Source organism: Homo sapiens, chromosome 6 (assembly GCF_000001405.40).
Source record: "Homo sapiens chromosome 6, GRCh38.p14 Primary Assembly".
NCBI lineage: Eukaryota > Metazoa > Chordata > Mammalia > Primates > Hominidae > Homo > Homo sapiens.
Window position 1 is genome coordinate 4,443,223 of NC_000006.12, and position 26,461 is coordinate 4,469,683.

A 26,461-nucleotide genomic window follows, 5' to 3' on the forward strand; every position below is an offset into this window, starting at 1 on the left:
CAGGCGTGCACCACCATGCCCGGCTAATTTTTGTATTTTTTAGTAGAGATGGGGTTTCACTATGTTGGCCAGGCTGGTCTCGAACTCCTGACCTTGTGGTCCACCCGCCTCAGCCTCCCAAAGTGCTGGGATTACAGGTGTGAGCCACTGTGCCTGGCCTTCTATTACTTTTTCTTACCTGATTTTTCTGGCTAGGCCTTCAAACCATGCAGAATAGAGGCATTGACCCATGAGGTTTTAACTTCAACAATTGCAATTTTTTACTTCTATAAATTCTATTTCATTTTCTAGTCTACATAGCTGTTTTGCATTCTGATTCATTATTTTTAATTTTCATCCTTTATCAAGTTTAATCATTCCTTATGTAGCTATTTTACACTCTGCATCAGAAAGTAAAATATGTGATGTCCTTGGGGGGTCTTACACTAAAATTTATGTTACCTATTGGCTCTGCTTTATGGTGAGGTGTTTCCTTGTGCCTTTGGTAAATTTTTATTTTTTCAGAGGCAGGGTGTCGCTCTACTGCCCACACTGGAGTGCAGTGGCATGATCATAGCTCACTGCAGTTTCAAACTCCTGGTCTCAAGAGATCACCTCAGCCTCACAAAGCGCTGGCATTGGAGGCATAAGCCACCACATCTAGCCTGGTGATTTTTTTTTATTATGAGCTCTTACTTGGTTGAACTTAATTTGTGGGGATCCTGAAAGCCTAACTGGGCATGCTTTACTCCAGAGGTATTCAAGAGACTCCACTTGGTTCCAGACCTCCCATTCGCCATGGACTTCACATGTACTCTGTTGACCATAACTGTGCAGTGTTTGCTTATCATTCATCTTTTGGTTTCAAAGCACTGTTTTATTTGTTTACTTTTTAAACTTAATCTTTTTACTTTGAGATAATTGTAGATTCACATGCAGTTGTAAGAAATAATACAGAGACATCCCATGTATCTTTTACCCAGGTTGTCCCAATGATAACGTCTTGCAAAACTACAGTACAACATCACAACTAAGACGTTGCCATTGATACGGTCAGATACGAAACATTTCCAACATCACAAGAATCCCACAGATTGCCCTTTTATAGTCACATCCACTTCCTTCCATCCTTATCCCCTCCTTCACCCTTAGCACTAATCTATTCTTCATTTCTGCGATGTCGTCATTTCAATAATTTTATATAAAAGGAATCAGTCAGTATGTAATCTTCGGAGACTGACTTTTTTCATTCAGTATAATTATCTGGAGATTCATCCAAATTGCTGCATGTATCCATGGTGTATTCTTTCTTAGTGTTATTCCGTGATGTAGATGTATCATGGTTTGTTTAACCATTCGTCAATCAAAAGAAATCTGGGTTATTTCCAGTTTGGGGCTGTTACAAGTAAAGCTGCTGTATGCATTCAGGTATAAATATGTATTTCTCTGGGTAAATGCCCAGGAGTACAATTCCTGGGTTACAAGGCAATTACATGTTTCATTATTTTTTTTAAATTGCCAAACTGTTTTCTGGAGTGGCTGTACATTTCCGCCAGTGATGTATGAGGAATCCAATTTCTTCTCATCCTCACCACCATTTTGTGTTGTCATTGTTTTTTATTTTAACCACTCTGATAGATGTGTAGTTATTCTTCATTTTGGTTTTAATTTGCATCTCCCTAATGGCTAATGATGTTGAACATTTTTTCTATCCATCACTATATATGTTTATTCCTCAATTAAAAGTATACATATGGGAATTTATTCTGAAAAAAAACAGAATTATATGAATTGTTTGTATTCTTATTTAATGGTAAGGATACAGTAATCTTTTCAATCAAAGCATCGTGTTTGAACAATTAGGACTAAGTAATGACATATTAAATGGTAAGTTATTTTTTTCTTTTTTTGTTATTATATCTCTTTTATTATTATTATACTTTAAGTTCTAGGGTACGTGTGCACAACGTGCAGGTTTATTACATATGTATACATGTGCCATGTTGGTGTGCTGTACCCATTAACTCATCATTTAGCATTAGGTATATCTCCTAATGCTATCCCTCCCCCCTCCCCCCACCCCACAACAGGCCCCGGTGTGTGATGTCCCCCTTCCTGTGTCCAAGTGTTCTCATTGATGTTGAACGTTTTTTCATGTGTACATTTTCCATCTGTGTATTCTCTTTAGTGAAATAGCTCTTCACATCTTTTGACCATTCTCAAATTGGATTGTTTGGTTTTGAGAGTTCTTTATATATTCCAGATTCTTGTCCTTTATCAGATATATGGCTTGCAAATATTTTCTCCCAGTCTTCAGCTCACCTTTTTATCCGCATAATCAGGTCTTTTGCAGAGCAAAAGTTTTTACTCTTGATTAAATACATGTTTTCGTATTTCATCTCATGGATCATGCCTTTGTTGTCAAGCCTCAGAACTCTTTGCCTTGTCCTACATCCTAAAGATTTTTCTCCTATGTTTCCAAAAATTTCATAGTTTTATGTTGTATATTTAAGTTCAGGATCCATGTTGAGTTAATATCTTTTATAAGATGTGAGAACTCTGGTTTCTTGAAAATTTCTCAGACTCTCTCACAAGCCTAGCAGTGGGTGAAAAATAATTTGGAAGGGGAGCAATTTATCTAAAATCTAGCTATATTATAACAGAAAATTTAGACTAGCCCTGTAGAATATCAAATTCACTATACTCTGTTTTAATTCTTGAAGTAAGTAAGTTGAGCTCTGTTACTATTTAGTATCTAGACTAATAGTGTAGCTTTTGCTCAGTTTGTATAATACACAGAGCAAGCCTGCTGGCCCCTAAGGAAGTGGAAGATGTTCATGTTTACTGGGGAAGGGAGGTTGGGAAAACTGGGGTTCTCCCTTGTATGTTTGCTTTCAGATTAGATGTGCCTTTTGCACTTTATATTGCTGATTATGTGGACATGTACATTATAATATTTTAATTAAAGTAACTCTCATAAGATTAAACAGTGACTTAAAAGGTTTCTTCAAAAAAAAAAAAATCCCCTGGACTGAAAATAATACTAATATGGCAAGCATAAAAGAACAGCATGACTGTACCAGAACTGGCACCTCAGCTCCAGTCCTGAGCTCTTACACAGCCCCACTGTGAGTAAAAGCAGTGAGAGTCCAATCTGATTTGACAGGGGCTTAGCCAGAAATCTTCCAAATTTCCAAGAAAACTTTCTAAAATGTGGATTTACCTTCGCTATTATTACCAATAAATCCTGCCCTGTGTATATAATGTTTCTTATATTAGGCAATCATAGCTCTGCACGTAAATTTGATTAGGGAGGCATTCGGTTGCAAGGAACAGAAAACCCAACCACAGTGACTTAAGACAGAAGGAGATTATTTTCTTCTTGTAACAAGAAATCTGGAGTTGGGCAGTCATAGGCAATTGTCAACTGCCTAAGGGAGTTATGAAGAACTCAGGCCCCTTCTGTCTTCTAACTCTACTTTCTTTTTTTTTTTTCTCCATTTATATATTTATTCAATCATTTATTTGTAACATTATGGACTCATAGTTTTTATTATTATACTTTAAGTTTTAGGGTACATGTGCACAACATGCAGGTTTGTTACATATGTATACATGTGCCATGTTGGTGTGCTGCACCCATTAACTCGTCATTTAGCATTAGGTATATCTCCTAATGCTATCCCTCCCCCCTCCCACCACCCGGGCTAATATCCAGAATCTACAATGAACTCAAACAAATTTACAAGAAAAAAACAAACAACCCCATCAAAAAGTGGGCGAAGGATATGAACAGACACTTCTCTAACTCTGCTTTCTTTACCAGGTAGCATTTGTCTCCACGGTTGGAAGACTGCTGCTGCAGCACAGACTGGTGTCTCTATTAATAGATATCTCAGTTGCACTACAGACAGGAAGAAGGGCAAAGGGGAAGAACACGATGGTGAGTAAGATGCAATTCCACATTTCAAGCAGCTTTCTTTTTCAGCGAGTGTCCTCAATTATTTCCCAATTTTTATCTTCTTTCTCACGGGAACGAAAAGCCCACATCTCTGAGGATGTATGCTCCAGGCTACACGCCAGGAATTCTGGATCACCTTCTTTTTAAGAGTCATTAAAAACAGCCCAGCTGTGCCTTGCAGTGGAAATCACTAGCCGCTGTTGTCTTCATGTCAGTTTGTCATTGTTAATAAGATAACATTGGTTTTATTATTCTTAATCTACCATAAAACTGTATGTCAACTCTCCTATCAGGAAAACCTTACCAGCAATGGAAACATGTTAATATTAATATAGCATTGCCATTTAGTAACAGATTATGTGGTTGACATAATATGTCTGAGTTTCTTTGAGGGTGTTATATATGCTCTCTTCACTCAGGGCTGTTGCCTTTCTGAAATATCTCGAGGTGGCGTTTTCCTCGTACTGGTGACTCCATGGTAATATGGAAGTGCCTTCCCAATAGTGAGGCTACTACAGGGATTCCAAGGTGATTCTTGGACACACCTCTTTCTAGAAAAGAGAAAAATACAAATAAATGTGCTTTCTGGCAGGAAACCCTGAGTTGTATGGCGTGTGTGTGTGTGTGTGTGTAAACAAAAATGTGAAATATAAATAGCCGTTCAAGAATATGTATATGCATAAATGTGGTGAGTATGAATCACAGCTCATATTCCCAAATATGCAAGAAACAGAATTTTCTTTGATTTCTTGAACCATTTAATTCCCATTTGGCTACTAAGTTGTTAAGAAATGCTGACTTCAGTCTTTATTAGCCTCTGCTGCACCATGATGGCCAGAGTTGTGCATGGTTTCAGAGTCCCATACAGGGACAAGGCATGGGGAGTTATAGGAAAATGCCTTCCTTGGCCACCTGTCCACACGAGTTGCCATGGAGAATGTCCCCATCCCAACACAACAGCTCCTTCAGGTCCAGATGCCGTCTCCCTTTCCTGAGTCATGTTTGGGATGCGAAAATCTTCTCAGTTTTGCCCACATGACTACATGCCCCTCCCACCTCCTTCTCTGGGATCTTGCCACCTCCCAGCACCATCTTCCTTTCTATTCCTTTTTTTTTTTTTCCCTAAGCCTGGGTGAATCTTTCTCTTGCCTGGAGAATGGAACATTCTGTGCTCTCCACAGTTTCTGGCAAGACTTTCTGTCCATACATCAAATCCTTTTGCCTGCTCTGAAATTAGGCTGCTCTGAAATTAGGCTTTTAGAGATGAAAGTAAAAAAGACCGATAGGTCATTTCTGCTTTTGATCCTGATACATCCCTCCCCTCACACAATGCAGCAAGTACCAATGAGCCAAGTTATCTGATTGAAAATGGTAGGAAAAGGAGACATTCGGAGAGGAAAAGAATCAAAGGTTAATATGTAAAAAAAATCCTCCTGCCATATGTTCTACAGGTGTGTGCGTGTATATATACACACACGTATATATGTTTATAATATAATAATATGTATAATATACACACATATATACATATATGTATATGTATGTGTGTATAGTGTGTATATATATAATGTGTGTGTACAGTATACTTGCCAAAGTTAATAGCTACTGTAACAAAGAAAATTTTTTAAAATTATGCACTATGTTTCTGTTAATATATTCAATTCAATGTTTTTTGCTTCTAATCAGAGAAATAGGGAAAATAAGGTATACTAAAGAAGTATAAATCTTGTTTCTTGCCCCCAAAAAGTCTTAATTGAATTGGGATTTAGGTTATATAAGTATACACATAAAAATAGACAGGAAATTACAACAATTCAGCACACACAAGCATACGCAGATGTAATTCAAGCAGCATATGGTAATGTTGAGCAGGGAGACTCATAATAATTAACATTTGTGAATTGCTTTCCATTTTACTCACATATATAACTTAATTTGATACTCATAATAGCCCTGAAAAGGGTAGTGTGATTATTATCTTCGTTTTACAGAAGAAGAAAAAATGCAATGCCAAAATTAAGTAATTTTGTCAAATTTACACAATTAGCCAATGGAAATTAAAGTAAAGGCGGTTCCTATGAAAAGTTTGTCTGAATATGGACTCCAAAAGGAAGATAAAAGATAAACTATATATGTGTGGTATACAGAGATGTACTTTGCATCATTGAATGAGCAAGCTCGTCCATCCTGCCTTAGTTTGTTGTTGTTGTTCTGTTTTGTTTTGTTTTAGGCTTTTAGCAGCCTGACGCCTTGGTTTTTAGTTTCTGTCTCTAGTGACAGGTGGAAAAGAAGGATGAGGAAGGGGCTTTACTGGCCCAACCAGAAATAGTAACTAAGAACCCATGACTGTATTCTCTCCCTTGGACACCCCTGGGAAGCTCTGTACTGGTAAGTTGAATTGCTTTAAATGGTGACTCTAAATTCAACTTAATCAGAATCTCTAGAGGTGAGTCACAGGGTTGGGTATGTTTTAAATCTCCTCAGGTGATCCTAATCAGCAGCCAGTGCTGAGACCACTGGGTTTTGTAGCTGCTGCTCTATAAATAGGTACTATCTTGTATGTTTTAAAACTCTTTAAAAAAATGTCCTTATGCTATATGTGCCCTTTTGCAACTTTCTTCATGGCTCAGGATTAGGCCTAATATTTTGATTTATTAAAACTGGTAGGAGCAATTAATTTACTTTAACTGCTACATGACATTCTACTATAATTTATCCTCCTACTAATGCAAAGTTTATCTTCTATTCTTATACATCTTTTCTTGTCTTCATGATCTCCTTGTGCTAACTTTACCAAATTGGGAAAAACTAAAAAGTCCAATGACACTAAGTGTGGTAAGAATGTGGGAAAATGTAATCTCTTATACAATGCTAATGTGAGTGTAATTCTGTACATCTGCTTGGGAGTCAATCAGTCGTAATACTTAGTGTTGACAAATGATCAGATCATTTTGTATTTTGGCAAAGAAACTGTCAAAACCCCTTTTATTTGGTTCTAGTTTTCTGTGGACAGTAAACAGCTTATTATTCTAGCCATCTGTACTTTTAGGGGAACAGAGACACCAGGGGGCTGGAAAAAATTTAAAATATTAAAAAGGTTTTAGTAAGTTGATTATATGTTAGATTATATCTGAAATTATTAAAAGAAAGTAAAATTACTGCTCTCTAACTATGTCCTATACTAGCGATGCTTTATGGCTTTCCAAAGCTATTTAAAACATGGTTTATTTAAGTGAATTAGCTCTTAGTGCATAACCTCTTCAACCTGCACCTCCTCTTTGCTCCAACAGGATCACTTTCCAGCCATGTTCTAGTAAATGGTACTAGGCTAAAACACTGGGCTCCATATACAGAACAGTTATTAGACAAAAGGAAGCAGAGAGCTGTAATCCCTGGGAGAAGGAAAACAAGACACAAGCCTTACAATCAAAAAAATTTCTCCCATCCTGGGCAACATAGGAAACCACATCTCTACAAAAAATTTAAAAAATAAAAAAATTATCCCAGCATGGTGGTCTCTGCCTGTAGTCCCAGCTACTCAGGAGGCCGAGGCAGGAGGATGCTAGGCGGAACCTAGGAATTCAAGGCTGCCGTGAGCTATGATTGCCCTATCTCTTAAAAAAGAGACCCTATTTTAAGATGAGAAAGGAAAGAGAAAAGAAAGAAAGAAAGAAAGAGAGAAGGAGTGGAAGGAAGGAAGGAAGGAAAGAAAGACACTTTGCCTAGTGTCTATATTAGAACTTAAAAATTAGAAGCTTGCTTTTTTCATAATATTTCCCTAATTTCAAAGGAATCAATTTCTCTATAAAAACAAGGAAGGAAGAGAGAAAGAGAGGGAGGGAGGGAGGGAGGGAGGAAAGAAATTTAGAAGCTTCTGCCTGAAAAACACTCTCCAGACCAAGAGGTGGGGCAAAAAAGCCCGCACAATGCATGGTAGTCTTTCTGAACTGAAGAGACACATTAAAGTTCAGGGATCCCAAGGTAGCTAGGATTTGTGTGAAAGAATTCAGAAAAGTGATAGCTATGCTGAGAAATCTGCGTAAGTCTACAGAAATTCCATAAGTCTACAGAGGGGGATCTCCATGAGGCCAGACAAATAATTGCTAAGGAACATTATGATCAACAATTCCTGGAACTCACAGAGGAGCAATAGACACTTGTGTTCCAATAATGCAGAGTGGAGGAATTTCAAATAGCTGAAGCATTCAGTAGAATCTCCAGAAGGGGTAGTGAGACAGCTTATCTAGCCCTAGACTAAAGGCTATTCTAGACCTGTCCTAATAATGCTTAAAAGCAATCCTCGAAAGGATCAAGCTGATTTGCAAATAACTTAACTGCCTGACACAACAAAGCTCAGTGCTATTTACAGGGAGACAACAAAATCCACACACTCAGCAACCTAATAACACAATGGTCACCATCCAGTAAAAACTTACTAGACATGAAATGGCAAATAAGACCCATAAACTGGAGTGGAAAATCAGTCAATAGACCCAGAACCACAATCGACACCAATTGTGGAATGAGCAAAGACGTTAAAACAACTATTATACGTATGCTGAAGGATTTAAAATAAAACAACTTCATGTGTAGGGAAGAAGGATATATAAAAAAGAACCAAATGGAACTCCTACAGATAAAAAATATAGTATCTGAGATGGAAAAAAAAAATCACTAGATAGGCTTGACAACAACAGTTTAGACACTGCAAAAGAAAAGATTAATGAACTTGAAGAAATAACAATAGAAATTATTCAAAATAAAGTAAGTAGAGAAAAAAAACTGAATCAAATTAACAGAGCCTCAAAGACTTCTAGGATAACAGCAAGTTGTTTAAATGTGTAATTAAATCCTAAAAAGAGGGAAGGGAACAACATATTTAAAGATAAAGCGGTTGAATACTTTCCAAATTTGATGAAAATTAGAAACTCACAGATCTAAGAAATTCAGTGAACCCCCAGTGAGAATATACTCAGAAGTATGCCCTACAGTCTGTGGCTTTAGCACCACTTTGTATTGTATGCCCCACCTGACCAGCTGTGCAGAGATATAACCCAGAGACCTGGCTAGGCTCATGGTCTTGGGAGTCAGTATGGGAGACTAGTAACAGAATTCACAATCAGGAGATCAGAAATCCAAAAACTGGGACAATGTCAAGTTGAAGACTAAAGGGTTCAAAAAATAGCATCAGGAGTGGAGAAGGATTAGGTCATTGGGAGGTGTAGCTGAATTTCCCAAATCAGATGGGTTTGTTAATTTCTAATTGGACCGAACACTTGTTGTGGCAGTTTTGGGTCACAATCCTAAGGGTCTTCTTGATTTTGAACAGGTGCAAGACTGAACAGTGTTCTCTGTGACTCAGTTCAAGATTTCCCTGTCAATTTTCTTGCCTCAATAAGCCAACAAGGCCCTCCTCTCTTTATCCACCATAATGGTAAAATCAGCTGTATACTCTTCAGCTGCAGGTTAACTTTACTATGCCTGATCTTGGGTCCCTGACTTATTCACAGAACTTCTGAGAACTGTGACACCAACTAACAAATCACTTCTAAGAAGGAAATTCTCCCTAAGGGTGTTTCATGCCTAGAAGTTCTTGGAAAGAGAAAAAGAATGTTCCTTACATTTAGAACACATTAAGGCATTTGAAAGAAAGACGACATTACATCTTGTGTGAATGGTTGATGAGTAGCTAATTTTTGGACAGCCACAAGGAAAATGCCAGGAAAGTTAACCTTTGCCTAGTGTCTATATTAGAACTTAAAAATTAGAAGCTTTCTTTTTTTCATAATATTTCCCTAATTTCAAAGGAATCCATTTCTCTATAAAAACATGAAATAAACACAAGAGCAAAATAAAATAAAATTCATCTATAAAATCATCTCCCAAAAATAATTATTGTTAACATTTTGGTTTCTATCTTTGAAGAACAATTTTGGGGAAAACAATATATAATTAAACTTGGATTCTAATGTATGGACATTTGCAAACCAATTTTCTTCAGCTATAAAAATTTTCCTCATTCATTGAATATTATTTATTTTCTTTCACTAAATTGGGATTATGTACTACATATTCTTTTTTGTCACTATTTTTTCTCTTAATCTACCATAAATATTTATCCATGTGATTCATTCTTTCATCCATTTCCTCAAAAAATCAATAAATACTGTGAGATAATTTTGCCTGTCTTTATAATGGTTATATCTATTTTTTCTGTCGTATTTTTCTTATTCTTTTTTCTTGCTATTAATTATAATGATTATAATGATATAATGATATATATAATTATATAATAATGATATAATGATATAATTATAATGATACCTATTTCTGTCTTATTTTTCTTATTCTTTTTTCTTGCTATTAATTATGAAGAGCATCTTTGTCCTGTTCATGGCTTTAAAGAGAATGCCGCAACATTTGACTGATAAATATGATGTTGGCTGCCAGTCTAAGATAATCTTCGTTATGTTAGTTGTCTTTTTATTTTCAGTTTGATAGGAGGTTTACTTGATTGTGTATTTATTATTTATTTTTAAGTAATGAATGGGTGTAGAATTCCATCAAATTATTCTTTGGCACCAATTGGGGGCTAGGGCAAGGATAAGGACAGAACTTGAGAAGACCAGTTGAGGAGCTATTTCATTGTCTCATTGTCCATATTAGAGGAACCAGGGCTAAGACACCAGATGTGGAAGAGAAAAGAAGAGGAGGTCTGCCACCTGTGCAGCAAAGGGAGCTAAAAGAGGAGAAGATAGAGATGGCTGGGAGATTTAGAGCCTGGCTTCTTGGGAGGCTGACCCCAAGTTCAATGGGAAAGATCATGTGTTCAGCTGCTTGTTGAGCTGGAGGTAACTGAGACATTCACATGGAGGTATCCAGCTGACAGATGAAACTCTGGGTCTTCAATAACAAAAAAGAAGGAAAGTTAGATTCACAAACTTACTGCAAAGAGACATATCAGGATCCCAAGAGGACATGAGACAGACAAGGAGAGAGCACATAGGGTGAAAAACACTGAATTTGAGGAAGGTAGAACTTTTAAGGGGCTCTTGGTAACCCCTTGGTACTTAATGTGTTTATTTTCTGAATGCCTAAGTGCCATTTAACAGGCACAAGGGGTAGAAAAAATGTCTTGGTTTGGGAATTAGGGGTAGAGGGATCTCAAATAGAAAACAAGTCTTTCTCATAGATAAGACAGAGTGGTAAAGACCCACATAAAGTAGGAAGGGGAGAGAGATTGCACTCAGGAGTCTACAAGAGTGACCCTGATCTACCAAGTGGGTAGCGAGGTCTTTGGCTGAAAGAAGGGGATAGGACAAAGTTTAAGGTGTTAAAGAAGTAAGAACAGGAACAGTTGTGGTAGGCGGTTTGTAGGAAATTGGGAATGAAATGAAAGATTGTTCCTCTGAAATGCCAACATTGCAGAACGGTGTTGGAGGGTCAATCAATTTCCACCTCTTAACTTTCTCCAGAAGGGCTCAGCAATTTGGGATTCAGAGGAAAAAGAAAGAATGAGGAGTCAGGATGTCACACAATTTTCACAATCACCCTATCGGTAAGATACATTACTGGCCCCATTTTGTAAAGGAGAAAATTGTCCAAGGTCATGGGGCAAGTAAGTAAAGGAGTCTAGATTCAGACAACCGTGTCTAGGATGGCAAAGCACACCCTAATCTGACCTTGCTCACTCTCCCATGCCACATCCTGTGTTCTCTATGGCCAGCCCCTTATACATGTGGTTTCCTATTTAATTCTCATGACAACCTTGCCAGATAGGTAGTGTGCCCTCATTTCACGACAGATGGCAAAAGAGGGATTTAAACCCAGTTCTCTTTCACCCCCAAAGTCCATGTTAGTGCCTTAAACCCAGTTCTCTTTCACCCCCAAAGTCCATGTTAGTGCCTTTACCCAGCCTCCTTCCTACTGTTTTGATCACTGTGTGTGGATTCTTAGGACTTCCCTTGGCTAGATTAGGTTTATAGACAGTACAGTACTCTGGACCAGACTTATAGACATATCTTCATTTTATTGGAACTAAAATGATGCTAATAGCTTTATCTTGATATTCTTGCTTATTATCTTTGTTTACATCAAAAACCCACTCAGGAGACTTGAAATCCTTAAACCTTGAACTCCCTCCCCCCAAAAATAAACAGTTTTGCACTTCCTCCTCCTATACAATTGTGAAATTTTCCTAGTTTTCCCTTATAAGCTTGTTATTCACTACCAACAAAACGTTAGTGTCAACTGCAAACTGGAAGATTAAAGCCTATATAATTAAAACTCAAAGGTGACTGCCTTTGAGGAAGAAGATCCCAGGAATAATAAGTTCCCAGCTGTGTGTTTCCTCTGGGTACAAATTAAAGAGCCCATGACCACCCTCCAGGGTTTCCCAAGCACAGCAGGTTTACTGAAGAATTTGAAGGCCCTTTTGGTTGATATCACAAGTAGCTAGTGAGCCCAGCTTCTTGCTCTTCAAGTAACTTAAAAGATTGAATAGCATTGGGCAGAGAGCACCAAGGACCCTGAGGAACTGGGCACAGCAATTGTAAGAGTGGAAGGTGAGTCTTGCATCTCTCAGGTCAAGTAGACACCAAACAAGAAATTTATAATGGACGATCGGCTCACAAAACTAATAATCTCAACCCATATGATTTAGTCAAGAGTAGGATCAAATGCATATACAGAAAACCTATCTATCAGTGGCTTAAACGACATAGGGGTTTCATGGTTGTTTGTTTTGTGTCTCATGTAAAAGAAGCCCAAAGGTGGGCAATGTATGGCCAACATGCTGGCTCCATTATGTCATGGAGACTCTGGCTTTGTCTAGCTTTCTGTTCCCTGCTCAGGGCATCCATCCTTGGTTGTAGAATGGCTGCTGCAACTGTAGTCAGTGTTCCAGGCTGCAAGAAGGTAGGGCAGACACAGTGACTTCTGTTAAATCTCTTCAGTCACCCTATTTACAAGGGCGACTGTGAGGTGGAGTTTTCTGCTGGGTGCATTGTTGCCTTTCGTAAACTCAGATCTCGTTACTGAGGAAGAAAGGAGAAATGGCTGTCAGGCATGGTGCACCGTCTCTTTCTATCTGGGTCTGCCTTTTGCATCTTGCAAAGCCCTTTAGCTTGATCCTAGATTCCAGCAGGTGGTTCTCTTCAAGTTTTAGAGCATTATGTTCATTGATGCTGATACCCAGGAAGGAGAACTCTGACGATATTCGCGTTCTCTCTTGTATACCATTTACCAGCAACACGTTGATCACTGTCTTAGTCCATTCTTGCTACTACAACAAAACACTTTAGGCTGGGTAATATGTAAATAATAAAAATGTATTACGGTTCTGGAGGCTGGGAAGTCCAAGATCAATGTGCTGACAGATTCGGTGTCTGGTGAAGGCTTATTTTCTGCTTCACAGATGGCACCTTTTGCTGTGTCCTCACATGGTGGAAGGGAAAAAAAGAACAAACTTGCTCCCTTAAGCGCTTTTATAAGGGCATTAATCCCATCCTTGAGGGCAGAGCCTTCATGGCCTAATTACCTCCTGAAGGTCCCACTTCCTAGTATATTGCATTGGGCATTAAATTTAAACATACATTTTGAAGGAACACAGACATTCAAACCATAGCAACCACCAAACAATCAAACACCACTATGTGCCAGGCCCTGCTCTGGTGTGGAGTCAACAAAGATGAAGGGCAATGCTCTTCTTGAGGGTTCAGACACTAGTGGAGACAGGAAGATAAACAAATTACAGTATGGTATGGCAGGTGCTCCAGTAGAGATTTGAAGAGAGCCCGGGAACACTGAGGAAGTCACCAGCTGCATCCTGGTGGATCCCAAGCTCTAGGAAATATAGGAGCACCCGGCCATCTGGGCAGTCTATAAAAATTGAGCTTCCCAGACATTGTCCCAGGAGTTCCAATATTACATATTCAAATTCCAGATCTACCAAATCAGCATCTCCAGATGTGTCTTAGGAATCGACTCTCTTTCCCCACAAAAAGTCCCAGGTAATGCTGGCACAGAAGTGGACCCCACTTTGAAAAGTTCTGCTCTAAGGGGGAAGGTAGGAACGGACACGCTAGAGAAAGAAGGCTCAGAAACAATGACTTGTGAGTTAACAGGGAGGTCATTCTACACAGAGGAGGGACAGCTTGGGCACTCAAGCCAGGCAGAGTGTGGTTTGTCTGAGAAGAACAAGACACAGGGACCAGAGCATGAGCCAGGGGCTTGTGGAGGTGCCAGAGCCACAGAGGATGAGGCCAGACTGTATTCACAGCGTGTCATGCTGCAAAAGCTGTACAGTTTTCCTTCTGTAGGACAAGGCTGTAAGTTGGGGACCCAGGAGTCTGAGCTCTAGGTTTCCCAGGGCAGGGCTGACAAAAAGAACCAGGGTGCACTTGACCTAAGCGAGTCTGACCCTGAGGCCATGCTGGCTCCTGTGCCCTGCCTTTTGTTCCCTCCTCACCTCTGCTTCAGCCTTGCCTGCCCACCACTCTGCCCTCTGCTCCTCTGAGAGGTGTTGTACTCTGTTGCATGTCCCTGGCTTAGAAACCCTTTCATTTCTGTCTGTGTTCATTACAGGCCAATTAGCTGCTTCTCCATGAAGATAAGGACCACCCTCTCCGTGGAACCAAGGAAAGGCATTTGCTCCCAGCCCGGGCAGCACTTATGCTCACCTTGTTCTACCTGTCTCATCACTAGGTGGGCAGCCTGGGCCGACATTCCTCCAACTAGGTGCACATTTACCTGGGGGACCTGAAGACTTTCCCCATAATACTCAGGCAAGGATAGTTACAGGGGAATCAATTTCCAGTAGTATTTTTCTAATATTAATCAGCTTGAAAATGAGCTATGTTCAGAATGTAGCTTTTCTCACTTTAGAAAAAAAGATGTATCCTTTATCCATCCCAAATCTTGCTTTGGTGCTTTGCTGCAGGAGGGAGTTTAAAGCAATGAGATAAACTTAAAGATAAATCAAGGCCCTTGAGCTCACAAGGCTTTCTGCCTTCTCCTGTCTTATACGTATTTCTGCAAGAGAGAAGGCATATTGGCCCATGAGGGCTCATAATTCAGAATGTCTAAGTCATATAGGGCTGCGATACTGATCCATTTAAATAAATGTAACTGGAATTTTTTGCAGGATGAGTGGATTTTTCAAAATACAATAAATCAGACAAACAAAAATTTCACCTGATATATTTCCGATATGTCATCCTTTAATCAATAAACTAATGAAAATATTTTTTTGAAATAATATAAAATATGTATTCCAATTATAATCAATTCTCATCTTATTTTACCATATAAAATATTTAACATTTTTTATCTCCTGTTAATAAGAAGTAAACTTATTTAACCCTATGATGATGAAGATGTTAGATGTCAATTTAAAAATGTCTGAAGGAGTATGTAGATTTTCAAAATTTTTTAACGAGGTTCACATTAAAAGGACATTTCAGTACAATGAGGTAGGGCGCTGGCCATCAAGGATCACAATTGCTTTTAATTTAAATCAACTTATGTTAAGTTTCTACTCTGTGCCAGGCGCAGTAGGCATCTTTAAAATAAGTGTCTGTCTGTGTCCAGTAAAATGTCTGGTCTCCTGGTGTTGGGTTTCCTGGTCTCAAAGGGTTCCACCATCAGCCTCCTATACTGAGAGATACATGCGTCAAACAACAGGACCAGAAGTTCCAACTTGCACAGAAAGTTATCCCAAAAAGGCAACACCCCCAGCCACACATTTTAGGCCTTATGTTCTCTGGTGTCCAAGAGCAACATGAGATGGGCTAAAGTGCCAAGCGGTGCCTTGAAGCCCCATGGCCGCCAGTGTGCATTCTGTGTTCCCCTGAGAGTAGACCAGTGATCCAGAGAGTCAGGGTACAACAGGACCCACGTCAAGTTCACAGATCATGGACTATGTGTGTTTACTGGGAGTGTGTGCTCAAGCATGTCATCCCAAAAGGGGTGAGAGTTCCACAAAGTGTGGATTTACACCATGAGCCAGGCATGAGGTCAACGTGGGCATCATCCACAAAGCTACCTCAAAGGAAGCCAGACTTGGAACAATGGACAGGATGTAGATAATCAGAGAGAGGCAGGAAAGTTGCCCAATCATAGTGAGTCAGACATTTATCGAACAGCTGGTCTGTGCTCAGCTCTGCTCAGGGCTCTTAGGAATTTAGGAAGGTGGATACAGATTTGATAAGGGAGGCCAGACTTGGGGAAAATTCAGGTCACACTGCAAGGTAGCATGTGTTAGGGCCTGCATCCGTGGTGCAGGGAGTGCCCTAGGAATGTGGAAGCGGGAGAACTCAGGGCAGATCAGATGGGCCAGAGATCAGGGGTCAAGGGCGACCTTGTACAGGATAAAGAACTGAGTGGGGGCTAGCAAAGGTAAGTGGGATGTGGATGGGAAGAGGGAAGGCCTTCTCAGGTAGAGAAAGCAACAGGAGCATAGTCTTAGGGGTAGAAACGACGAAACAGAATGGATGTGGAGTATTAAAAGGCAGGGCCAGCTGGTTGTTAAGAGGAGTCATTCCTTCAACCGGCAAAGACTCACAGAGCACCTCCTTACCAGACACTGCAGACACACAGGGAGGAAGATGGCTCAGCTCTGGCCCTCACAGGGAGCTCACAGAAGCGGACAAGAGGTTAAATGAGAATTGGGATTGTGAGGAGGGCTGGGAAGAGGAGGTGCAGAACATCACGAAGTTTCTAATGGGGTCCAACCTGGTCTGGGAAACAGGAAGAGTCGGGGGCCACAGAGGCAACCCTGGTGGGGTCAGGAGAGGGTTTGGAAAGTAGGATTATGGCAGACAGGGGAAGGTCTCAAAAGCCAAGGAGAGGCAACTGCTGTTTGTTCCCCGTGCATTTCACATGGTGGAGCATGAAGCCATCTCATGTAGGGAAACGACTTATTGCTGGTGAGGCCCTGGGAAGATCCGTGTCATGGCCATTTGCAGGCTGGATTTGGACAGAAAGGAAGTGGAAGCGAGGCAGCCAGTTAGGGAGATGCCGAGAGAACCTAAGAGGGGCATTACGCATCCTGCACAGCTGGGCCCGGGTCCCAGGAGGAGGACAAATGCATTCGTGCGGTTGATTTCCTGTGTCTTACCCCTCAGCTGCCAGAGGCTACCTAGGTGTCACTGCTGACATTCCTCCAAGGGAGAGCTTTAGGCTTCCGCAGGGAGAAAATGCCTGTATAAGTTTTAATCGAAAGCAAATATGAGACGATGCTATCATTTTCAAAGTATACTTGCATTTTCCACATATTCATTTCAAGCTAATACCAGCTTTTTCTGTTCTCCTTGCCCTCTTTTTAACACTTTTAATGTTCTTCTATGAGTTTATTACATTCAAACTACTTACAGCAAACCCTAAAACTACAACCAGAGCTGTTCAGATCCTGCCCCATTAGGGAAGGGAGGCCCAGCAGCACAGAGAGGAAATGAAGAGATGGGGTCAGCCCTTAGACTGCCTGGTGATCAGACAGCAACCTCAGGCTGTTTGCTCATATTTATTTCTGTCAGGCCTTTAGAAAACACATGTGTTTTTCGGTAGCTGTTTCCAGGGCTCTCGGTTACAGGGAACATCTGGGATGTGTGAATAAGTCACCTTCAGCAAAACAAAGTACAGCTCCAGTGAGGCCCTGTGTGCAAAAGGCCAGCGGCTGTCAGTTGCCTGCCAATTGGCTGCTCCGTGCAGAGATTCCAGCCCATTCACCAAGGTCTCGCTGAGAAGCCTGTGCCGGGCAGCAGACGCCTTGTGCTCCGAAGGATTTGTTCCTACATGACTTGGAAACAGTTTGTCCCCGTTAGCTCAGTCAGTCTGTGGCTGGTGCCAAGAAGGCCGAGGTTGCAGGTTTGATCCGGGAATGGGTCAATTAGCTTTGCACAGAGGAAAACTTTGTTCCTCTTCACTGACTGCGCCCCAGCCTAGCCGGCATCCGCCAAGTAGGAGCCAAGTGACAATAGCCGTGTTCTTCCCGGGAAAACCAACAGTGAGTTCATCCACTCTGCACCGTGGGTCGGAAATGTCCTCCTCGCCCACTAAGAACATTTTATTGTATTTGCAGACACATCATCTGTAATGCTTTCAGTTCCCCTCCTGGGAGCCACACTGTGAAAACGAAATGCAGTCTCCTTGATGCTTTAGGAAAGCAGCAAGATCCACTGGGTCGATCAAAGCCTTGCACACTGAAGGAGCCTAGATTTGCTTCCCAGTTTTATAGGAGATAACCAGTATTTGATGTGAAGATGTATTTGGGGCCAAGGGAGATTTGGTGTGAATCATTTTAATCAGAGGCTCAAGAAACCTGAACTGGATCTGACCCCACCTGCCTCCGCATGTGAACAGAAGCAAACAGAAAAGGCTGCTACAAATGAGGGTCTTGAACAGCAGATGTTAAAAGCAAGTGCTACTTAGCGATCTCAGAAATACTCGTGGCTACTGAAGTAGCATTTCTCGTCCTCTTACCACAAGATTTGACAAGCGGACTTGACGCTCTTCATTGTAGCCATTCTCTCTCTCTTTTTTTTAGAAGTTTAAAAATGTGTGTGCAATATGCAGTCATGATAGTTAACTTTCAAATGGTTCTCTGTCTACCTACAGGAAAGAGAAGATATTAAATTGTTTCAGAGCCAGATGGGCTGGCGTTGTCTTTGTTTGGCTCAGAGTAAGACACAGCCAGTGAGTTCTCCGCTGAGGCAACGTATGTGAGTGTCACGCAGGGCATATGTGCACACTTAAGCCATGATCACCCCTTAAAGATCTTCTTAGTTGCTACAGCTAAAGCTATGCCCCAAATGCTGTCAGGCTACAGTTTTAGTTGTGTATGGCATCAAGGATAATAAAGGTGTACTGTTTTAACTTGTGTTACTGGCACCTGTAATTCTTCCAATGATATTTCCTATTCTCCAAAATTGATACCCAGCCTTCACCTATCTCATGAAAATACATCTTTCTGGATTCAATCCTGAGGGGTCAGGAGAAGAGTAGGAAGAACAAAAGGGACAAATAAAACACAAAAGCAGGAAAGTTTTTTTTAAAAAATAGTCCATGGCAATCATTAGCATGCCATCTTCATTACTCAGAGAATTTCCAGATGATTGGATGCTCATTTTGGCAATTAAAACTTCTATATCAAAACATCAACAAAAATATCTATAGCCAATGTATCTAAATTAATTAATATTCTTAATGCATTTGAAAAAACATTTGGCTGAGATGATATTCAACAATGTTTGACTTACAAAAATTTTAATTACACGTGGTTCAATTAAATACTAAGACCATTACAAATAAATGGCTCCAAATTTTTAGTAGAAAATACAAACGACTTGAAACATCGAAAAATGTGTAACTTAGCCAGGCACAGTGGCTCATGCATGTAATCCCACAAACTTTTGGGGAGGCCAAAGTGAGATGATCACTTGAGCCCAGGAGTTTGAGACCAGCTTGAGCAACATGGCAAGACCCTGTCTCTACAACAACTTTTTGAAAAATTGGCTGGTGTGGTGGCACATGACTGTAGTTTCAGCTACCCGAGAGGCTGAGGTGGGAGGATCATTTGAGCCCAGGAGTTCAAGGCTGCAGTGAGCTATGATTGCACTACTGCACTCTAGCCTGGGCAACAGAGCAAGATCTTGTTTCTAAAAAGGAAAAAGAGGAAAAGGGGGGAAAGAAAAGGAAAAATGTGTAACTTTACTAATACTCAAATAAATGCAAAAAGAAACACAAAAAAACCAATCCATTTCCAGCTATCATAAATAGCAGGGAAGTTCACAGAGTAGACCGTCCTGTGCTGAGTGTGGGGAAATCTGCTGTCTCCTATAGTGCTGGAAGGGATGTAAATTGGCACAACCTTTTCGGAAAACAAATTAGCAGTAACAAAAATGGTGGGGTTTCTTTGAATGTTCAATTCCTGGCTCTAGTATTTCCAGTTCTGTGAATTTATCATAAGAAAATACAGGGGAAATAAAATGTTCTGTGCAAAGATGTGCCTTGCAGTATTCACGACAGTAAAAATGAGGAGGTAAACTCCATGTCCAGCAATAGAGAAATTAGGCAGTGATTAGAAGCATGGAAAGTGGAGTCAAGCCAACTTGTGTCTAAATCCCGCTTTGGCTGTTTAATAAGCATTGTTAAACACATTGCTAAAACCTTGAGCCTCAATTTTCTTATCAATTTATATGATGAGACTAATTCCTACCTCACTGGGCTTTTGCTAGAGTCACATGGGAAGAATGTATGTACATTGCTTGGAATAGTGTGTGGAAAGCAGAAAATAGCAGCTTCTCTTTATTATGATTTAGTCATCCTCAATATTATACAACTATTGAAAGAATGTTTAAGAATAATTTATAATAACATAGGAAATATCCATTATATAATGTGGAAAATCTAAGTATGTAGATACAGAGAGGCTGTGGTACAGACTGTAAAATATGCCTTAAAAAAGAAGACAAAAAGGAGTAATATATGAGTCAAAATTTTACAGGGGTTGTCTGGGTCTTGGAATTAGGGATGATTTTCCTATGAGCTCTTAACTTTGGTGCTTTTTCCAACTGTGCTATAATGAACATTATTTCTTTTGTCATTGAAAAGGGATAAACTGTATTTTCTAAAACAAAACACCAGCCTCTGGTGTTTGGCCTCCAGAGACAGCAGTAATAGTTTTGATCCATGGCTCCCAGGAAGGGATGGAGGGCAGCTGGCATGCAGGAGACAGAGCATCAACGAGGAGCTACAGCAGTTGGCTTCTGGGTCCTGGAGCTCCACGGAAAACTCTGCAACCCTGGTCATCATTGGCCATGCTGCAATGAAGACAGCATTAGTTGAGATCAAGCCTTCACTGCAGAAACCACAAGGCTCTGTCTCATTACTCCCTCTTAGGATGATGCACCATACCTGGTTCTCTGCCGTTCTGTGACACACCTTTGGTCTCCTCTCCTGCTAGCAGTTGGCTGGAACCGTTTGGCTGAAATACTCTGTTAGTTCTTACCTTTTGTTATGAGTTCAGTTGTGTCCCCACCAAACCAAATTCATATGTTGAACTCCTAACCCCAAGTGACCGTATTGGGAAATACAGTCATCGCAGATGTAATTAGTTAAGTTAAAACGAGGTCCTTAGGGTGGACCCTAATCCAATATGACTGATGTCTTTATAAAAGAGGAAATTTAGGCACAGAGACATGCAGAATGTGGACACATCCTCTACACAGGGAGAACACCACGTCAAAGTGAAGGTTGATGTTACACTGCCACAGGAGTTCCCAGGAGCTGGAAGACAGGCCTACAACAGATCCTTCTGTGCCTTCAGAGGAAGCATGGCTCTGCCAACACCTTGATTTCAGACTTCCAGCCTCCAGACTGTGAGATAATAAATTTCTGTTGTTTAAGTTCACTCAGTCTGTGGTACTTTGTTATGGCGGCTCTAGCAAACAAATATACGCTCATTTTCTCACTCAATGTCATGTCTTCCTCTTTCCCTCTTTTCCAAAGAAAAAAAATGAAAGCCTTCCAGATGTGTTCTGCTATGGTCCACAGGCTGGAGGGTGCATGGAACCCACCCAGAGGTGCTCTGCAATCAGCAATTCAGTGAGCCATTCACAGTCCAACCAGTTGCCTTCTGATGAGAATGCATCACACCGCATGTGGGGAGGGCCATGTGGGAATTCTCACACCTGTTGCCTAGATGCCTGTGTCTGGTTAGAACCACTGCATGCTTTCTTTCAGTGAGTATTTACGCTAGGCACCAAAAAACAATGGCAAGAACAAACATTAGTGTGATGTCAGTAAGAATGAAACCTAAGTTACTATACAGATTAAATTATAAGTTTCTCTGGATGTAAAAAAGTTCCCAAATGTAGTGTAACAGGTTAGAAATTCACTTCTCAATCACGCAAAAGTCCAAGCAAGCATGGGGACCTTGCTTGTGATGTGTGTCTTTCTTATGAATTGAATTTTGTATCTCCCCGCAAACCTGCAAAATTCATATGTTGAACCCCTGATGTGATGACATTTGGAGATGGGGTCTTTGAGAGGTTAAAGGTTAAGATTGAATGAGGTCATAAGGGTGGGGCCTTTATGCAATAGGGTATGTGTCCTTATAAGAAGAAGAGACACCAGAGATCTCTGTCTGCCTTGTGAGGGCACAGCAAAAACTCAACCCTCTGCAAACCAGCAGGAGAGCCCTCACCAGGAACCGAATTGGCTGGCACCTTGATCTTAGACTTCCCACCTCCAGAAATAAGCTCCCATTGAGAAATAAGCTCCCGTTGTTGAAGCCATCCTATCTGTGGTATTTTGTTATGGCAACCCGAGCTGACTGAGACAATCGTCTTGCCTGTCAGCCTTGACCTTGCTGCTCTGTGGCATCCCCATTTCCATGATAGCCCCTGTCACACTGGCATTCCACCCAGCAAGAAGGAAGAAAGAGACAGGAGCACACACACCTTCCCATGGAGGTGAACAGCATACCACACAGCCCCTCAGGGCCCACTGGCCAGAATTCAATCACATGGCTGCACTCAATGCACTGGAAGCTGGAGAACAGAATCTTTCTCTGTTCTTCAGCCTGTGCCCAGGTTAAAGATTCTATTTCTTTTTCTTTTTTCTTTTTTTTTTTTTTGAGACGGAGTCTTGCTCTGTTGTCCAAGCTAGAGTGCAGTGGTGCTATCTTGGCTCACTAAAACCTCTGCCTCCCAGGTTCAGCAATTCTCCTGCCTCAGCCTGCTGAGTAGCTGAGATTACAGGTGCAACATGCCCAGCAAACTTTTGTATTTTTAGTAGAGACGGGATTTCGCCATGTTTGCCAGGCTTGTCTCGAACTCCTGACCTCAGGTGATCCGCCTGCCTCTGCCTCCCAAAGTGCTGGGATTACAGGCATGAGCCACTGCGCCCGGTCTAAAGATTCTATTTCTATAGAAGAAAGGGACAATGAATATTAGGAAATAACCTGCTGTGTGGCCCTTAGTGACCAAATAGATTCTTTATGAGATGACCTTTTTGTTAAGGTGGGAAAACTTGAGCAGTGCACAGTTTTCCTGGCACTGGAGAAATCTTTCAGCAAGGTGCTATCTGGAAAAGTGGAACCCTGGTCACATGGGAGGACATGGAGTCTCTCAGGCACAATGAGCCATGACATCCCTTTTCCTCTTTCTCTTAGGTCTACATTGAATACGTCTTTGCTGCTCTGGGATCCATCCTCCAGTCTTCAGTCAGCTAAGAAAATGACCTGTGGGCACGTTGGCTTCCTTTCTTCGGATTAAGTGGTTGTTCAGAGAGAGGCTGAGTCTGATTGTTTACACAAGAAGGAAGTGAACACTGGCTGTGTGCCTGGCACTGTTAGGAGCCATCAAACCATGTCCAGAAAGGACGCAGGGAAAGGAGATGTCGATGTTTCCAGACATTTTGTGATGTGAAGAGAGCGCCTGAAGGTAAGTTGGGAAAAACGGTTCTAGTTTTTGTTCTGCTGTTTTCAAGTTTGACTTCTCAGAACCAGTTTCCTCGCCTATAACATGAGACATTTGGATTCTATCTATAAACTTTGGGCTCTTTCTGTAACAGAAACTACCACCTTATCTGGAAAAACAATTATTTTCCTTTTTTTTCCTTTTATCCCCCTTCTTTCTATGCTAGGTTTTTGATGATGCTTAACTCACGTGCTTTGCTTAAAGAACTGCAGGGACTGACCTGAAACGCTAAGCATGGAATCCAGGTTGCAGAACATCCCACTCTGGAAAGAAGGCTGAGCCGTTCATCTGTATTCCTGTTGCAATCAAGCTAATGCCAGCCAGACCACCAGGTGGCCCATTATTCAAGACAGTCATTGAGACTAGACAGACTGACCAGCATGTATTCAGCTCTTGTACATAATTCCCCCAGACTCCCCCTCGCATAACACCCCTGGCCAGCCTGAGAAATTCGAGATGGTCTTTGTGACACTAGCCCACCATCTCCTCAGGTTGCCAGCTCCTCATAAACCTACTTCTCCTCCGACCAACTCTTGTGTCTCCAGTTTGGCTCTCAAGGAGCGAGCAGCCGAACCTAGGTTCAGTGACATTTCTAAATGCTATGACATACAGGCTGTAAGCACTCACAAGGCAAGCAACATGAACTCAATTCCCTGAGTCATGGGAAATGACGGGCTCCTATGACTACCTTTGTTTAAAGTGAAAAGGAAATACAGGTAAACTTAGAGTGCCCAGAATTGAGATGGAAAGCTTTTATTCTTGGGGAACTGTAAGTAAGATGATGTGCATGTGAAAAAAACCCACAAACTACAAGTCCCAAAGAGTAGTGGAAAGCCTGCCCTTTAGATTGGAACAGTGAGCCCAATGGGCAAGGGTTCCAGTTGAGACTCATCCTGTGGAGTGGAGCCCAGGTTTCCATAAAGGTCCCACGATGACTGGAAGTGACTTCGCAAACCCCACCCCTCTACTCCCTCCATGCTGCATCTCAGGGTCAGGGCTGGGGCAGGAAGCAAATTGCACACCTGTAACATGAAGACAAGCGAAAGGATTTAAGGTGAAGAAGGTTAGGATGGAAGCCCTCCTAGTAATTCATTGGTGTTGGAGAGATGACTGTATTTCTACCTCGGTGAAAGCCAAGCTTTTAATTCAATATCACTCCAAAAACACAAATTACAAGTTGTGTGATACACAGACGATTAACCCACCTAATAATTAAATTAAAAAACACTTTTTGAGGGAACAAATTAGATTATGTTTTCCGAATCAGCAGCTTAGAGATTTTTATTACCTATTAATAAAAATTATCTAAACATCCATCACCATAACTTTTCCTCTACTTTGTTTCCATTTCTTTCTTTCTTTTTTTTTTTTTTTTTGAGATGAAGTTTCACTCTTGTTGCCCAGGTTGGAGTACAATGGTGTGATCTTGGCTCACTGCAATCTCCGCCTCCTGGATTCAAGTGATTCTCCTGCCTCAGCCTCCCAAGTCGCTGGGATTACAGGCATGCGCCGCCAAGCCTGGCTAATTTTTTATATTTTAAGTAGAGACTAGAGACAGGGTTTCACCATGTTGGCCAGGCTGGTCTTGAACTCCTGACCTTCAGGTGATTCACCCGCCTCGGCCTCCTAAAGTGCTGGGATTATAGGCGTGAGCCACCGTGACCAGCCTTTGTTTCCATTTCTATAGTATAGTTTCAATTTTGTGTCTGTGCAAATAAAAGTGTCCAGCAATATGAAAGAAAAAAAATTTTTAGGCTTTTTACATTTTTCAATTGTTTTCTTCAGTGTGTCTTGATTCATTTTTTATTTCCCTCTTCAGATTCTCTCCTAGTTTTGTTGTGTTTTTTTTTAAGTTTTAATCAGTGATTCACCATCAATGATTCTCCACCTTATAGCTCTCCTCTTCATCTGTAGTAACACAGTGCTGGCACGTAGGAGGCACTCAATGAATATTTGACAAGCGAATGAACTCATGTCAATGGTTCTCAATATTTGGAATAAAGGCCACTTTAGGCATGTGGTGATAGCAATAGATTCTTTCCTCTGGTAATGGAACACACACACGATTTTACATGACAGTTTCAGGGGATTCATAAAGCCCATCTTCTGACCTAGGGTTCTTTAAACCCCAGATATCACATTAAAGTGCTACTGTGTTTGGAAACACTAGAAGATATTTGTTGTAGGTTCCGGGTATAAGGGAAGATGGTGTCCGATATTAAATTTATGACTTGGTAATTCGAGACACTCTCCCTCACAACTGATCTGGGAGGCACTGTCTGTAATGAAGAAAAAATGGTACCCAAAGCATCAGTCCATAAAACTAATTTAGCACACTCTACCCAAAGGGACGCCATCTGTCTGAATAACAAAGTGTAAATAAGCTCAGAGGATGTAGATATGGTATCTTCTCAGACTTTAGACCTCCACAGGAATCCCACGGGAATCATGTTAGAATGCAGATTCTGACTCAGTGGGCTCGAGGTGAGGCCGATATTCTGCATTTCTGACTTGCTCTCAGGGGTTGCCATGCAGCTGGTCTATTCACAGATCACAATTTGAGTACCCAGGCCTCAGAGCATCCTCAGTACCCCAAGTGTACTGTTCCTCTGCACCTCTCTTCCAAAACGTATCCTCACATATACCAGCTTTCAAAAGCACATTTCAAACTTTGTTACTTGCTCATATAAAGTTGGGTGTTAAAATATGCCCCCTCAAAATAATACCAACAAACAATCCTTTGAATTATCCCATGCAGATGTCACCGTCCTCTTGTTACAGACAAAAGCCAAAATTGACAAATGGGATCTAATTAAACTAAGGAGCTTCTGCACAGCAAAAGAAACTACCATCAGAGTGAACAGGCAACCTACAAAATGGGAGAAAATTTTCGCAACCTACTCATCTGACAAAGGGCTAATATCCAGAATCTACAATGAACTCAAACAAATTTACAAGAAAAAAACAAACAACCCCATCAAAAAGTGGGCGAAGGACATGAACAGACACTTCTCAAAAGAAGACATTTATGCAGCCAAAAAAC

The 26,461-nt window shown here is 41.0% G+C and overlaps 3 long non-coding RNA genes across 5 annotated transcripts in view, besides 1 other annotated feature; 2 read left to right on the plus strand and 1 right to left on the minus strand.

Moving 5' to 3' along the window:
- LOC105374894 (uncharacterized) overlaps window positions 1–26,461 on the minus strand; it is a 154,998-nt gene that overhangs the window by 14,375 nt on the left and 114,162 nt on the right. Inside the window, exon 3 of one of the 3 annotated variants that reach the window (XR_007059417.1) lies at window positions 18,137–20,757. The exons of 1 other annotated variant lie outside the window; for it this stretch is intronic. This is a non-coding gene — a long non-coding RNA (uncharacterized LOC105374894). Of the gene's footprint in view, window positions 1–18,136; window positions 20,758–24,155; window positions 24,441–26,461 lie in introns of those variants that run through there. One more of the 3 variants, XR_001743940.2, reaches the window with a different exon arrangement.
- Window positions 3,783–21,557, plus strand: LOC107986561 (uncharacterized). The gene is made up of 3 exons (XR_001743939.2): window positions 3,783–3,922; window positions 6,171–6,328; window positions 21,446–21,557. It is a non-coding gene; the product is annotated as an uncharacterized LOC107986561 (long non-coding RNA).
- Window positions 21,591–24,156, plus strand: LOC124901247 (uncharacterized). Its single transcript, XR_007059419.1, has 3 exons — window positions 21,591–21,678; window positions 23,112–23,382; window positions 23,585–24,156. It is a non-coding gene; the product is annotated as an uncharacterized LOC124901247 (long non-coding RNA).
- Window positions 23,404–24,603: an enhancer, noted in NCBI's record as "BRD4-independent group 4 enhancer chr6:4466860-4468059 (GRCh37/hg19 assembly coordinates)". NCBI's record gives its function as "activates an origin of replication core promoter dependent on BRD2, P300/CBP, MED14 and CDK7 cofactors, and independent of BRD4, by STARR-seq in HCT116 cells {active_cell/tissue: HCT116}" and the evidence as "EXISTENCE:reporter gene assay evidence [ECO:0000049][PMID:35650434]".